This window comes from Homo sapiens, chromosome 2 (assembly GCF_000001405.40).
Source record: "Homo sapiens chromosome 2, GRCh38.p14 Primary Assembly".
Lineage (NCBI taxonomy): Eukaryota > Metazoa > Chordata > Mammalia > Primates > Hominidae > Homo > Homo sapiens.
In genome coordinates this window covers 230,246,547-230,260,697 of record NC_000002.12, presented here as the reverse complement: position 1 = coordinate 230,260,697, position 14,151 = coordinate 230,246,547, and the positions used below count along the sequence as shown (strand labels likewise).

At 42.3% G+C, this 14,151-nt stretch overlaps 1 protein-coding gene across 37 annotated transcripts in view, besides 1 other annotated feature; it reads right to left on the bottom strand.

Moving 5' to 3' along the window:
* SP140 (SP140 nuclear body protein) overlaps positions 1–14,151 on the bottom strand; it is a 130,421-nt gene that overhangs the window by 55,874 nt on the left and 60,396 nt on the right. For 12 of the 37 annotated variants that reach the window (XM_047443073.1, XM_011510517.4, XM_006712223.4 and 9 more), the window contains 5 exons: positions 12,633–12,782; positions 11,730–11,813; positions 9,637–9,717; positions 7,281–7,382; positions 5,166–5,246 (listed from right to left, as the gene is read on the bottom strand). In XM_047443073.1, coding sequence (XP_047299029.1) covers positions 5,166–5,246; positions 7,281–7,382; positions 9,637–9,717; positions 11,730–11,813; positions 12,633–12,782 — 498 coding nt within the window. Of the gene's footprint in view, positions 1–5,165; positions 5,247–7,280; positions 7,383–9,636; positions 9,718–11,729; positions 11,814–12,632; positions 12,783–13,257; positions 13,396–14,151 lie in introns of those variants that run through there. The other 25 variants (XM_047443077.1, XM_005246256.3, XM_047443078.1 and 22 more) reach the window with 8 other exon arrangements.
* Positions 2,838–2,907: an enhancer, noted in NCBI's record as "active region_17216". NCBI's record gives its function as "activates an Ori minimal core promoter by ATAC-STARR-seq in GM12878 lymphoblastoid cells {active_cell/tissue: GM12878}" and the evidence as "EXISTENCE:reporter gene assay evidence [ECO:0000049][PMID:35858748]".

Below are 14,151 nucleotides of genomic sequence, written 5' to 3'. Positions count from 1 at the left end.
CCTATTCAACAAATGGTGCTGGGATAATTGGCAAGCCACATGTAGGAGAATGAAACTGGATCCTCATCTCTCACCTTATACAAAAATCAACTCAAGATGGATCAAGGACTTAAATCTAAGGCCTGAAACTATAAAAATTCTGGAAGATAACATCAGAAAAACCCTTCTAAACATTGGCTTAGGCAAGGCCTTCATGACCAAGAACCCAAAAGCAAATGAAAGAAAAACAAAGATAAATAGCTGGGACTTAATTAAACCTAAGAGCTTTTGCACAGCAAAAGGAACAGTCAGCAGAGTAAACAGACAACCCACAGAGTGGGAGAAAATCTTCACAATCTATACATCTGACAAAAGACTAATATCCATAATCTACAATGAACTTAAACAAATCAGTAAGAAAAAAACAAACAATCCCATCAAAAAGTGGGCTAAGGACATGAATAGACAGTTCGTAAAAGAAGATATACAAATGGCCAATGAACATATGAAAAAATTGCTCAACATCACCAATGATCAGGGAAATGCAAATCAAAACCACAATGCGATACCACCTCACTCCTTAAGAATGGCCATAATCAAAAAATCAAAAACAGTAGATGCTGGCATGGATGCAGTGAATAGGGAACACTTCTACACTGCTGATGGGAATGTAAACTAGTACAGCTGCTATGGAAAACAGTGTAGAGATTCCTTAAAGAACTAAAAATAGAACTACCATTTGATCCAGCAATCCCACTACTGGGTATCTATCCAGAGGAAAAGAAGTCATTATTCGAAAAAGATACTTGCACATGCATGTTTATAGCAGTACAATTCACAATTGCAAAATTGTGGAACCAACCCAAATGCCCACCAATTAACAAGTGGATAAAGAAACTGTGGTATATATGTATGTATGTGGTATATATATATATATATATATATATGATGGAATACTACGCAGCCATAAAAAGGAATGAATTAACAGCATTTGCAGTGACCTGGATGAGATTGGAGACTATTTTTTTTTTTGAGATGGAGTCTCGTTCTGTCACCCAGGCTGGAGTGCAGTGGTGTGATCTCAGCTCATTACCACCTCCACCTCCCGGGTTCAAGCAATTCTCCTGCCTCAGCCCCTGCTAGTAGCTGGGATTACAGGCACACACTACCATGCCTGACTAATTTTTGTATTTTTTTTTTTTTAGCGGAGGCGGGGTTTTGCCATGTTGGCCAGGTTGGTCTCAAACTCCTGACCTCAGGTGATCCATCCATCTCAGCCTCCCAAAGTGCTGGGACTACAGGCGTGAGCCACCGTGCCCGGCTTGGAGACTATCATCCTAAGTGAAGTAACTCAGGAAAGGAAAACCAAACACTGTATGTTCTCACTGATACGTGGGAGCTAAGCTATGAGGACGCAAAGGTGTAAGAATGATGCAATGGACTTTGGGGACTTGGAGGGAAGAGTGGGAGGGGTGCGAGGGATAGAAGACTACAAATATGGTGCAGCGTATACTGCTCAGGTGATGGGTGCACCAAAATCTCACAAATCACCACTAAAGAACTTACCCATGTAACCAGATACAACCTGTACCCCAATAACTTACGGAAAAATAAAAATAAATAAATAAATAAATAAACAAACAGGCCATGCTCTAGGGGTATCACTTCAAAACGTGACAGACATCAAAGAGCCATTGCTAGTAGCCACATCTCATCCTAGTTGCCTCAAAGCAATTGCAGGTGACTGCATTAGTCCATGGTTCTGGAGATTTTGTACTTGGATCAACTTTAACTCTGTTCCCGTTTAGAAAAAAAAAAAAGTGCAGCTTGCTGCACTCATTTAATTTTACGTAAACACATTCTTTGAGGCTGAAGCAAACATGATTGATTTTCAATGTGAAAATAAAATATATAAACTGTTCTTGGAGTTATTTCTAAACAGAACCATATCAGAATCATCTATTTTAAAAATATATGATTCATCAAATGAATCTTCGGCCAACAATTGTTCAGTAACAATGTTAACAGCACATGTGGGAAAGCCACGTTTTCCAGGATTTGACATTTTCAGTGATCAACAATTACTGTATTTTGTAAATGGAAATACCACTACTAAAACCAGAATGCTATAATTAGAAGAATGTCTTTTGTTTCCAAAGTCAATATATTAGAGTGATGTGAAAATAATAATAAAAGCAAGATATTTCATGGCAAATTTACTTGGGATAAACGCTGCAGCCACAAGGGTGGCTGGTGAGTATTCTTGGAGCAAAAGGGAATAAATAGGATAGTATTGCAAGCAGCACAATTCTGCTGCTAATTAAAAACTTTCAACAGTTGTCTGCCATTCCATTAACGTATTGTAAAACATCATTACTTTTTCTTATGTCATCCTTTGCAAGGATAACACTCTCAATCTAGCAACTCTATAACTCCTACTCAGTGAAGGGGAATCCTAGGATTTTGTTTCCAGGGTCCTCTTCCAGAAAAGACATCTTGGATGGGGAAAATACTTGATGGTGCCTCCTGCAGCTTTAGATGAGAGATTTCCTAAAGGGGAAACTGATAATTGAAAGTTGCTACACTTCTAGGAAAACTCATTATTGTTTGGCCATATGGTCAATAACAACCAGAATCATCCCAATTAATCAACAATAGCTTCTGGCCAGTACACAGGCCTCTGAAAGCCAGCCAACCATTGACTTCCCCATGCTTCTGAAAGTCAGACAGTCAGTAACAGCCACACTCCAGTGACCCTGCTTTCACTAAAGGTCAGCTAACCACTAACAAATCTCACTTTTGAAGGCCGCCAGTCACCGAGATCCACACTTCCACAAACGTTCTCTGTTCAGAGAAACTGACCCACAAGCACAACTATCCCTTAACTGAACAATAAATTCAGCCTTTCGTTTGATATTAAGTGGTGGCCCCTTATTTTTTCTTTTTTTCTTCTGAGATGGAATCTTGCTCTGTCACCAGGCTGGAGTGCAGTGATGTGATCTCAGCTGACTGCAACCTCCACATCCCGGGTTCAAGCAACTCTCTTGTTTCAGCCTCCCGAGTAGCTGGGACTACAGGTGTGCTCGACCACAACCAGCTAATTTTTGTATTTTTAGTAGAGATGGGGTTTTGCCATGTTGGCCCGGCTGGCCTTGAACTCCTGACCTCAAGTGATCCACCTGCCTTGGCCTCCCAAATTGCTGGGATTACAGGGGTGACCCACTGCACCCAGCCTAAGTGATAGCCCCTTCTACTAGTGATATCTTTTTATTACTCTATGACGGCATCTATGGTTCTTTTCGGCTTTCTGGACTTTCTCTTCTTAACATCTCCTCTCCCTTACTGTCTCTTCCTCCTTCAGTGATGTGCTACATATACTTTTCATATTGCCTCTCTGTTTCTCTTTTCTGGCTCTATTTTTCTGGATATCTCCTATCTCGTATCGTAGATTACATTCAAGTATTTTCCAACTCTTGATAATGTTTCCTTATCTCTCCCTAATCTTTCTTTATTTGTTAGATAAAAGTCTCTTTCCATTGAACCCTGGTAGAGTCTCTTGGATTCCTAAAAACCCTTTGGGCATCCACATTGGACTCAGACTATGAGACCCCACCCCAACCCATGCCCACCTCATAGAACTGAAAGCCTGTAAGGAGTCATCCAGGACACTGGTCTCTGCTCTTTCTTTTTTCTTGGGTCTTATCAAACACCCGTGTCACATGCATTTCTGTGTTTCTGGCTCCTTAAAACAGCAATAACAGCACCTTCCCTATCTAAGTCTTGAGGTTTTTGTGAGTAAAATTATAACACCTATCAGAGTACTCTGAAAAACCACTGCATGATCCAATGACATAATGGAAAGTACTGGTCAAAAATACCATTTAGTCTCACAAATAGTTGATCTAAGTTCTGCCAATTAGATGGTAGAATACCATTACACTGAAGGCTTTGTCAAGTTTGTGAAAAAATCATAAAAAAGTATCTACCAGCAGAGGAATGATACCCTTTTTTATTTCCATAGAGGGAGTGAGAATAGAAATTTTTTTTATTATACTTTAAGTTTTAGGGTACATGTGCACAACGTGCAGGTTTGTTACATATGTATACATGTGCTGTGTTGGTGTGCTGCACCCATTAACTCATCATTTACGTTAGGTATATCTCCTAATGCTATCCCTCCCCCCTCCCCCACCCCACAATAGGCCCTGGTGTGTGATATCCCCCTTCTTGTGTCCAAGTGTTCTCATTGTTCAATTCCCACCTATGAGTGAGAACATGCAGTGTTTGGTTTTTTGTCCTTGTGATAGTTTGCTGAGAATGATGGTTTCCAGCTTCATCCATGTCCCTACAAAGGACATGGACTCATCATTTTTTATGGCTGCATAGTATTCCATGGTGTATATGTGCCACATTTTCTTAATCCAGTCTATCATTGTTGGACATTTGGGTTGGTTCCAAGTCTTTGCTATTGTGAATAGTGCCACAATAAACATACGTGTGCATGTGTCTTTATAGCAGCATGATTTATAATCCTTTGGGTATATACCCAGTAATGGGATGGCTGAGTCAAATGGTATTTCTAGTTCTAGATCCCTGAGGAATCACCACACTGACTTCCACAATGGTTGAACTAGTTTACAGTCCCACCAACAGTGTAAAATTGTTCCTGAGAATAGAAATTTTATATAAATTCAAATAATAGTATTGATAGCTAGAAAAAATAAAGGCAAAAGAGCATTGCTTCTTCCTACCGTATTTCTGACCTTTATTTCTTCACCTATAAAATAGGATTACTCAGTTTGCCTGCCCCCATCTTAAGGTTTTGTGAGGGTATCGAGAGATCTTATTTGGTAAAATATTTTAATACTGTAGTATTGAAAGGCATGAGAATATAAAGGAGGGAACACATTGCCTTGCCTTGGCATATTTTGACTACCACTAGACTGCCTGAACACATATGTTCAAACAATAAATCCCATTCTGTTAAACATGGACTTCTGTATAAAGATTCCTCCCTGCATTTCACAAAAGATTCATGTACAGAAAATGTGAAAAATCTCAGGATTAATTAGATCCTTTCACTGTGAGGTATATGCAGAGGAAAGTCAATCAGGAAACACGAGCTCCAAATTCAACCTCCTGACACTCTGCAGCCCAGGGCCAGAAATCCCCCCCCCCGTCCTTACCTGACCCACGTCTTGCTAGGGAGCTAGAGGCTTCCTGGCGCTCTTCTCCATCACACATTTCCGAACAGTCATCACTGCCCTCTGCAGAAAGGAAGGAAATCCCTCAGAGGTCTCAGTATACAACCAACAAAAAATCATGAAGAGAAAACTTAGTGAAGATGTGGAAAGCTGAAGTATCTCTCAGGTAGGGCTGTCCCCCACCCAGGTCCTCCTGGTCTGCCCTGTGGGTTCACCTGGCCTGTAGGTGGACACACTCCAGTTGCTGCCACCAAGGCTGAGAACCATCCATCAGCTCACTTGCTGCCTGGACTCCTAATTCTCTCTCCTTCTCCCCCTCCCCCTTTCCACATTAGACTCAGGCCTCTGCCCTGCTTTCCTGCTGCCAGTGGCTCCAGGTGCTTCTCTTTGTTTCCATGCGTTTCTGCCCCCCTTCTCTGTTTCTATCCTTTTCTCTTGCACCCCTGACTCTGCTCTTTACTAGCTTTCCCCATCTTGTTTATTTCCTTGTCACCCCCTTTTTCATACTGGGTATCAGGAAAGGCATTCCTGGGATAGTGGAAATGAACCAGATAAGGAAGGGGATCAGGAGCAGAGTGGGCCAAGGCAACAACACATAGTACAGGGGAAGTGTGGCTCAAGGGCCCACATATAAAAGAAAGATCAGATCATTGCAGCTCCTGAAATGATTGATGCCATTAGTAGAGATGAGACAGATGATATGGGCTGGGGCCCCATGAAGGGTGGAAGCCACAGAAATCCACAGGAAGGATAACTCTTCTAATCCTGTGCAACAAAGATCACCACATCTAAGGGGAAAGGAAGATGATCTGATTGATATCTTGCAAATAACAATTGTGCTAAAGCAGAAAAAATGAGTCTGATGAGTAGAAGAGCAAACAGGACATTCATCCCTTTACTGAGACAGCAAACCCTGGAGAAAGAGGAGTTTCTAAGTTCAGGGGAGGTGCTGGTTTCCACTGTGAGGTGTTCAGTTCCTGAAAGACATTGCAATAAAGAAGGTCCCAAGATAAAAGTCTTCAGGCACACAGATGGAAGAGCTTGGAAGGGAGGCCTGCCTAACAGACAGATATTAAATGCTTGACAATGATTCCACTACCTGAGCAGATGAGGCTGCGGGGAGAGAAAGAATTCTTACCCTCTGAGTATGCTTCTGTGTCACTCTCTACCTAGAAGGACCTTAATCAGAAAACTCACTATTGATAGAGGTGCCGTTTGCTGGATGTTGCTGCTGTCTAGTAACTCTGACTTCAGCTCTACAGGCCCTCAACCCGCTCCTTTCCTCCGACATAGTTTGCACTCTTCATGGGTACTTTAATTATTTTGATCTCTTTCTCTGCATAGTTTAATCTGTGCTTCCTTCCAACATTGTTGTCATTTGTATTTGCCTCCATTTGTATAATTTTCTCTTAACTTTTCTCTCTGCCTCTTATTTCTTATCGAGATTATCCTCTTTCTACTTTGTCTTTCACTTTCTCCTTTTCTGTCTCTGTTTCTTTGGGTTTTACCTTAACCTCTTAGATGCCTGTAAAATGTCCACGATTTTATATATTTTCCTCACTCTCAAAGTTCTCTTCTCCCAGGTTGGAAAAGTTCTTCCGTTTACGCAGGGGCTGTAAAACTGCATACGCTTTGCTTGTCAGCTCCATCCCAAGGGTCTTCCACATGACTTTTCTCAATTGCAAGCATTCAATCATTCACAAAACTTACGTCTGTGTTCCTGATACTTCTGAAAGTAGGCTGAAAACAATCTCCCTGCCTCAATTACCATAACCTGCTGATATTTCGGTTTCATGTGTTTTTAATAACATCACCCAGGAACTTCTTCTCTGGTGCCCCCAGCCTACCTCTGGCATATTGTATCTCCCTACATGCTCCATGCAGGGATATGGTCTCCACTCAGGGGCTCACCTTAGCTTGATCCTTTGTCTCTCACAATTTACAAAAAAAGCCCAACAGAAAATTGACATAATTCCATCTGTATGTATGCGAATGTGAAGAAGAGAAGGGTAGGATGGGAGAAAGGGAAGCTTTTTTCCCATGCCAACTGGAAAACAAAGATGTACTCAAATACCTAAAAATGTACATCATAATTACCTTCTCCTTCACCTGGTAGTAGACTGAGCTCCTTCTCTGGTTCTCCTTCATTAGTGACTTGGGGAGTCTTTAGATCAAAGGTCTCTGCAGATAAACAAGAAACTGACAGACCACAGAGGGTGACTTGGACACAGACCTCAGTGCATTCACGCCATCCAAGATGGGAAAATGCTAAGAGCCACCCCTGTCTTGTTCCGCCTTTTCTCCATCTTGTTACATCTCCTCTTTCTCCTTCTCTCTAATTCTCAGTGTCCTCCTCACCGTTCTGCCTCCACATAGTTCCCTCCTAGCTGAGCAGCGCTTGGATTGTCTGATCTTCTCTCCAACTGGCCTCTCCTGCCTCCTGTTTCTATGTCTTTTTTCTTTTTTAGTGATATTGTATCTCTTTTCTATTATTTCTTTAGCTCTTATTCTAGATCCATCCTATCCCATAGAGCAGGCTCTATTTCCATGCTGTGTTTCCACGATCTCCCTTCCCTCCCGGTAGCATTTTTCTTTTCCTTAAAGCCTTACATTGATCCCTGGTTCACTCCTCAGGGAACCTGCAGAACTCCTTGGGCTTCTTTCTATTCTGACCCTGTGACCCGGCCCTGAACCCCCAGCTGGCCTTGCACAACCATCACCCAGTGACACATCCAGGACACTGGTGCCCACTCTTCCTTTTCTACTTTGCCTTTGCGATAATATCCTGCTTGCATTTCTGTGCTTTATTTCTCAGTCTAAAATAGACGTTTAGCTGTTTGCATACAGATGTTTAAGAGTTTGTGAGGGTAAAAGGAGCTCTTGTGCAACCCAGTAATCTGATAGAGACTGTCAGAAACCTTGCCCACCTGGTCTCCCACCCCATGTTGGCACTCTCATTTTCATGCTTGACACATGTCTCTGCTTCTTCTGTTTCTACCTCTGTCTCTTGCCGCTGGACTCTCTTGGTACTTCTCCTTGTCTTGGTTTCTTTTTCTGGGACTGCTCCTGCCTCCCTCATTTCCCTCTTGCATCCCTGGTCCTGTGCTTTATGTCCTTGCCCCACTCTATGCCTATTAAGGCACATGAAGGTATACACTTATATCTTCATACACCTTCATAGAATGCTACTCTATGAAGGCAACTGTCCTTCTCTTTGGCTCTGTGGACTTTCTCTTCCAAACATCTCTCCCTGAATATCTGTCTCTTTCTCCTTCAGTGATATGCTACATCTGCTATGCACATTCTATCTCTGTGTATCTTTCCTGGCTCTATTTTTCTGGATATCTCCTATCTCGTATCATGGATTATATTTACATACTTTCTAACTCTCAATAATTTTTCCACTCCTCTCCTTAAGCTTGCTTTACTTGTTAATAAAAGTCTCTTTCCATTAAACCCAGGTAGAGTCTCTCAGATTCCTAAAAACCCTTTGGGCATCCACATTGGACTCAGTCTATGGGACCCCACCCTAACCCATGCCCGCCTCACAGAACTGAAAGCCTGTAAGGAGTCATCCAGGACACTGGTCTCCGCATTTCCCTCCTTCTTGGGTCTTAACAAACACCGGTGTCACATGTACGTCTGTGTTTCTGGCTCCTCAAAACAACAATAACAGCACTTTCCCTGCCTAAATCTTGAGGTTTCTGAGGGTAAAAATGTAACACTTATCAGAGTCCTCTAAAAACATACTGCATGATCCAATAACATAATGAAGAGTATTGGTCAAAAATAGCATTTAGTCTCATAAAGAGATCATCTGAATTCTGTCAATTAGAGGGTAGGATACCATTTCTTTGAAGGCTTTGTCAAGTTTGTAATAAAATGATAAAAAGTATCTACCAGCAGAGGGATGATAAGCTTTTTCATTCCCATAGAAAAAGTGAGTGAGAATAGAATTTTAAATTCAAGTAATACTATTGATAGTGAAGAAAAATAAAGGCAAAGAGCATTTTTTCCTCCTAGCATATTCTGACCTTTATTTCTTCATCTGTAAAATAGGATTACCCAGTTTGTCTGGCCCCATCTTAAGGTTTTGTGAGGGTATCAGGAGATCTTATTCAGTAAAATATTTTAATGCTTCAGTATTAATAGGCATGAGAATATGAAGGGGAGAACACATTGCCTTGCCTTGACATAATCCAACTACCACGTGATTATCTAAACACATATGTTCAAACAATAAAACCCATTCCGTTAAACACAGACTTCTATATCAAGATTCCTCCCTGCATTTCTCAAATATCCATGTATAGAAAATGTGAAAAATCTCAGATTTAATTGCATTCTTTCACTGTGAAGTATACTTGGAGGAAAGACAATCAGGAAACACAAGCTCCAAATTCAACCTCCTGACACTCTGCAGCCCAGGGCCAGAAATCCTCCCCTTCTTTACCTGACCCACATCTTGCTAGGGAGCTAGAGGCTTCCTGGGGCTCTTCTCCATCACACATTTCTGAACAGTCATCACTGCCCTCTGCAGAAAGAAAAGAAATCCCTCAAGAAATTATGAAGAGAAAACTTAGTGAAGACGTGGGAAGCTGAAGTATCTCCTAGGTGGGGCTGTCCATCACCCAGGCCCTCCTGGCCTGTAGGTGGGTTCTGTAGGTGGGTTCACCTGGCCTGTAAGTGGATGCACTCCAGTTGCTGTCACCAAGGCTGAGAACCATCCATCAGCTCACTTGCTGCCTGGACTCCTAATTCTCTCTCCTTCTCCCCCTCCCCCTTTCCTAGGCACATTTCTTCTGCCTTTGCCCTGCTTTCCTGCTGCCAGTGGCTCCAGGTGCTTCTCTTTGTTTCCATGTGTTTCTGCTCCATTCTCTGCTCCTGCCTTTTTCTCTTGCACCCCTGACTCTGCTTTTTATTGGCTTTCCCCATCTCATTTATTTCCTTGTCACCCCCTTTCTCATACTGGGCATCAGGAAAGGCATCCTTGGGATGGTGGAAATGAACCAGATAAGGAAAGGGATCAGGAGAAGAGTGGGCCAAGGCAACAATACAGAGTACAGGGGAAATGTGGCTCAAGGGCCCACATATAAAAGAAAGATCAGATCATTGCAGCTCCTGAAACAATTGATGCCATTAGTAGAGATGGGACAGATGATATGGGCTGGGGACCCATGAAGGGTGGAAGCCACAGAAATCCACAGGAAGGATAATTCATCTAATCCTGTGCAGCAAAGATCACCGCGTCTAAGGGGAAAAGAAAATGATCTGATTGACATCTTGCAATTGCCAATTGTGCTAAAGCAGAGAACAATTGTGCTAAAGCAGAGAAAAAGAGTCTGATGAGTAGAAGAGCAAACAGGATATTCATCCCTTTACTGACAGAGTAAACCCTGGAGAAAGGGGAGTTTCTAGGTTCGGAGGAGGTGTTGGTTTCCCTTTTGGATGTGTGTAGTTCCTGAAAGACATTGCAAGGGGCAGGGTCCTGGGATAAATATCTTCAGGCACATGGATGGAAGAGCTTGGAAAGCAGGTCTGCATCGCAGACATGTACATGAGAATCATTCCACTACCTGAGCAGATGAGACTGGGGAAAGAGTACTCTTACTCTCTGAGTATGCTTCTGTGCCACTGTCTACCTAGGGGGGCCTGGATTGGAAAACTCACTATTGATAGAGGTGCCCTTTGCTGGGAGCTGCTTCTATCTAGTGACTGACTTCAGCTCCATAGGCCCTCGACCTGCCCCTTTCCTTGGACAACAGTTTTCACTCTTCATGGGTTCTTTAATTATTTTGATCTGTTTCTTTCTCTGCATAATTTCTTCTGTGCTTCCTTCCCATATTGCTGTTGTTATTGTATTTGCTACCATTTGTACAATTTTCTCTAACTTTTCTCCTTGAGGTTATCACCTTTCTATGTGTCTTCTACTTTCTCCTTTTCTGTTTCTTTGGGTTTTATCTTATGCTCCTAGATGCTGGTAAAATGTCCCTTATTTTATATATTTTCCTCATTCTCAAAGTTATCTTCTTCCAGGTTGGAAAAGATCTTCTGTTCACGCAGGGGCTATAGCACCACAGGTCCTTCCCTTGTCAGCACCATCCCAAGGGTCTCCTGCATGACTTTCCTCAGTTGCAAGCCTTCGGTCTTTCACAAAACATGTCTGTGCTCCAGATCCTTCTGGAAGTAGGCTGAAAACATTCTCCCCTGCGTCAGTTGCCATAATCTGCTGTTATTTAGGTTTAATGTGTGTTTAATAACATCACCCACGCACTTCTCTGGCGCCCCAGCCTACCTCTGGTATATTCGTTCTCCCTACATTCCCCATGCAGAAATATGGTCCCCACTCAGGGGCTCAGCTCACCTTGATCCTTTGTCTCTCTCACAGTTTTCAAAAAGGCACAACAGAAAATTGACATAATTCCATCTGTATGTATGCGAATGTGAAGAAGGGAAGGGTAGGATGGGAGAAAGGGAAACTTTTTTTCCATGCCAACTAGAAAACAAAGATGTACTCAAATATTTAAAAACTTAAATCATAATTACCTTCTCCTTCACCTGGTAGTAGACAGAGCCCCTTCTCTGGTTCTCCTTCATTAGTGACTTGGGGAGTTTTTAGATCAAAGGTCTCTGCAGATAAACAAGAAATTGACAGACCACAGAGGGTGACTTGGACACAGGCCTCAGTGTGTTCATGCCATCCAAGATGGGCAAATGCTGAGAGCCACCCCTGTCTTGTTCCGCCTTTTCTCCACCTTGTTGCAGCTCCTCTTTCTCCTTCTCTGTAATTCTCAGTGTCCTCCTCACCGTTCTGCCTCCACATAATTCCCTCCTAGCTGAGCAGCGCTTGGATTGTCTGATCTTCTCTCCAACTGGCTTCTCTTGTCTCCTGTTTCTATGTCTTTTTTCTTTTTCAGTGATACCATATCCCTTTTCTATTATTTCTTTAGCTCTTATTCTAGATCCCTCTCCTATTCCAAAGGGCAGGCTCTATTTCCATGCTGTGTTTCCATGATTTCCCTTCCCTCCCATTAGCATTTTTTTTCCTTAAAGCCTTACATTGATCCCTGGTCCACTCCTCCGGGAACCTGCAGAACTCCTTGGACTTCTTTCTATTCTGACCCTGTGACCTGGCCCTGAACCCCCAGCTGGCCTTGCACAACCATCACCCAGTGACACATCCAGGACACTGGTGCCCACTCTTCCTTTTCTACTTTGCCTTTGTGATAATATCCTGCTTGCATTTCTGTGCTTTATTTCTCAGTCTGTAAGATAGACATACAGCTGTTTGCATATCGATGTTAAAGATTTTGTGAGGGTAAAAGAAGCTCTTGTGCAATCCAGTAATCTGATAGAGACTGTCAGAAACCTTGCCCACCTGGTCTCCCACCCCATGTTGGCACTCTCATTTTCACCCTTGACACATGTCTCTGCTTCTTCTGTTCCTACCTTTGTCTCTTCCCTCTGGACTCTCTTGGTACTTCTCCTTGTCTTGGTTTCTTTTTCTGGGACTGTTCCTGCCTTCCTCCTCTCCCTGTTTCTCCCCTGGTGCTGTGCTGTATGTCCTTGCCGCATCTATCATCCCGTTGCTTTCTAGAACTAGGGATCAAAAAAGGCATCTCTGAGAGTGTATGTAATTTCCATATAATTTCACTAGATTAGTGAGCATGATGGAGATTGTAGTGAAACAAGGTGACTTTTTCAAGCACAGGGCTAAGCCTTTAGGAAAGCTCAGATGAGAAAGAGTCATCAGAAAATGACAATGACTAGAAAATTTGTATATAAACCTTGAAGTAATTGCAGGAGAGGCAGACATGAAGCTGGAGCCCTGGGGGAAAAAATAGATTTAATCCTTATGACCCCAAGTAGTTATTGATTTAAAGTAGAAATGTAAGATAAGCCAACTTCAATTTTTGAAAGAGTTGTTTGAGTTGGAAAGAATGGATGTGAGAGGTACAAGATCAGAGGAAAGATGTGAGTCTAGAGGCTGTTGCTCCAGTCCAAGAGAGAGATCTTACCAGAGTTTTTGTGTTGGGGTGGAAGGAAATGGACAGGTGAGATATGTAGAACTCACTAAAAGTCTACTGGATGGTTGATGGGGTGTTTAAGTTGAGGGAGGTGGGGTGAGTCATGAGTGGCTCCTAGGTTTCTGCTTCAAGAATGGAGTAATAGTGTTTCATCCTGAGATAGGGAACACTGGGAGAGGAGTCAGATCTGTGTCAGGAAAGATGGTATGTACTCTTGGAGGTGTCTTGTATTGAGGTTCCTGAAAAACATCCAAATGGAGAGGTCTTTCAGATATCTTCATGAACGTATTCAGGTACTCAGATGAATGAACTTAGAAGATAAATCTGGACATATGTGTTTTGAAATCATTAAGTTATAGATGGGAGAGACATGAAAGCCTCAGGGGGAGGTCGACTGCCTCTGAGGACATTACAGGTGCCATTTTGATAGGCTGGGGACACCATAATGTGAAAACTCGCTGCTAACATGTCTCATTCTTGGGCCAGAAGTTATTTCTGTCTAGTGAATCTTCCCTCCATCCCTACAATGTCCCATATTGTTCCCCATCTCTTGCAAGCAGTTTTCACTCTCTGCTAACTTCACTTATTCTCCTTTCTCTTTTTCTCTGTGTACAACTTTTGTGCCTCTCCTCCACTGTCTCTGTCTTCGAGCATTTTTCTTCTCTCTGTTCCTCTCACAGTATTTTCTCCACCTTTTAATTCCTGTGCCATATTTAATAATCAAGCTTATCTCCTTTCTTCCATGGTGCTCATTTCCATGCCTCTATCTGTTCTCTCTAATTAGCTTTCTGTTCCTAATTTTTCAATCCAAAATTTAAATCTAAAAATTTAAACTTCAGTCTTTCTGTATATTCTGTCTTATTTTTCTGCCATAGTATCAAAGGCCTCATCTTTTGCCATTAACAAAGGGGCAGGGACCCTTCCCTTTGTGAAGTTCATTT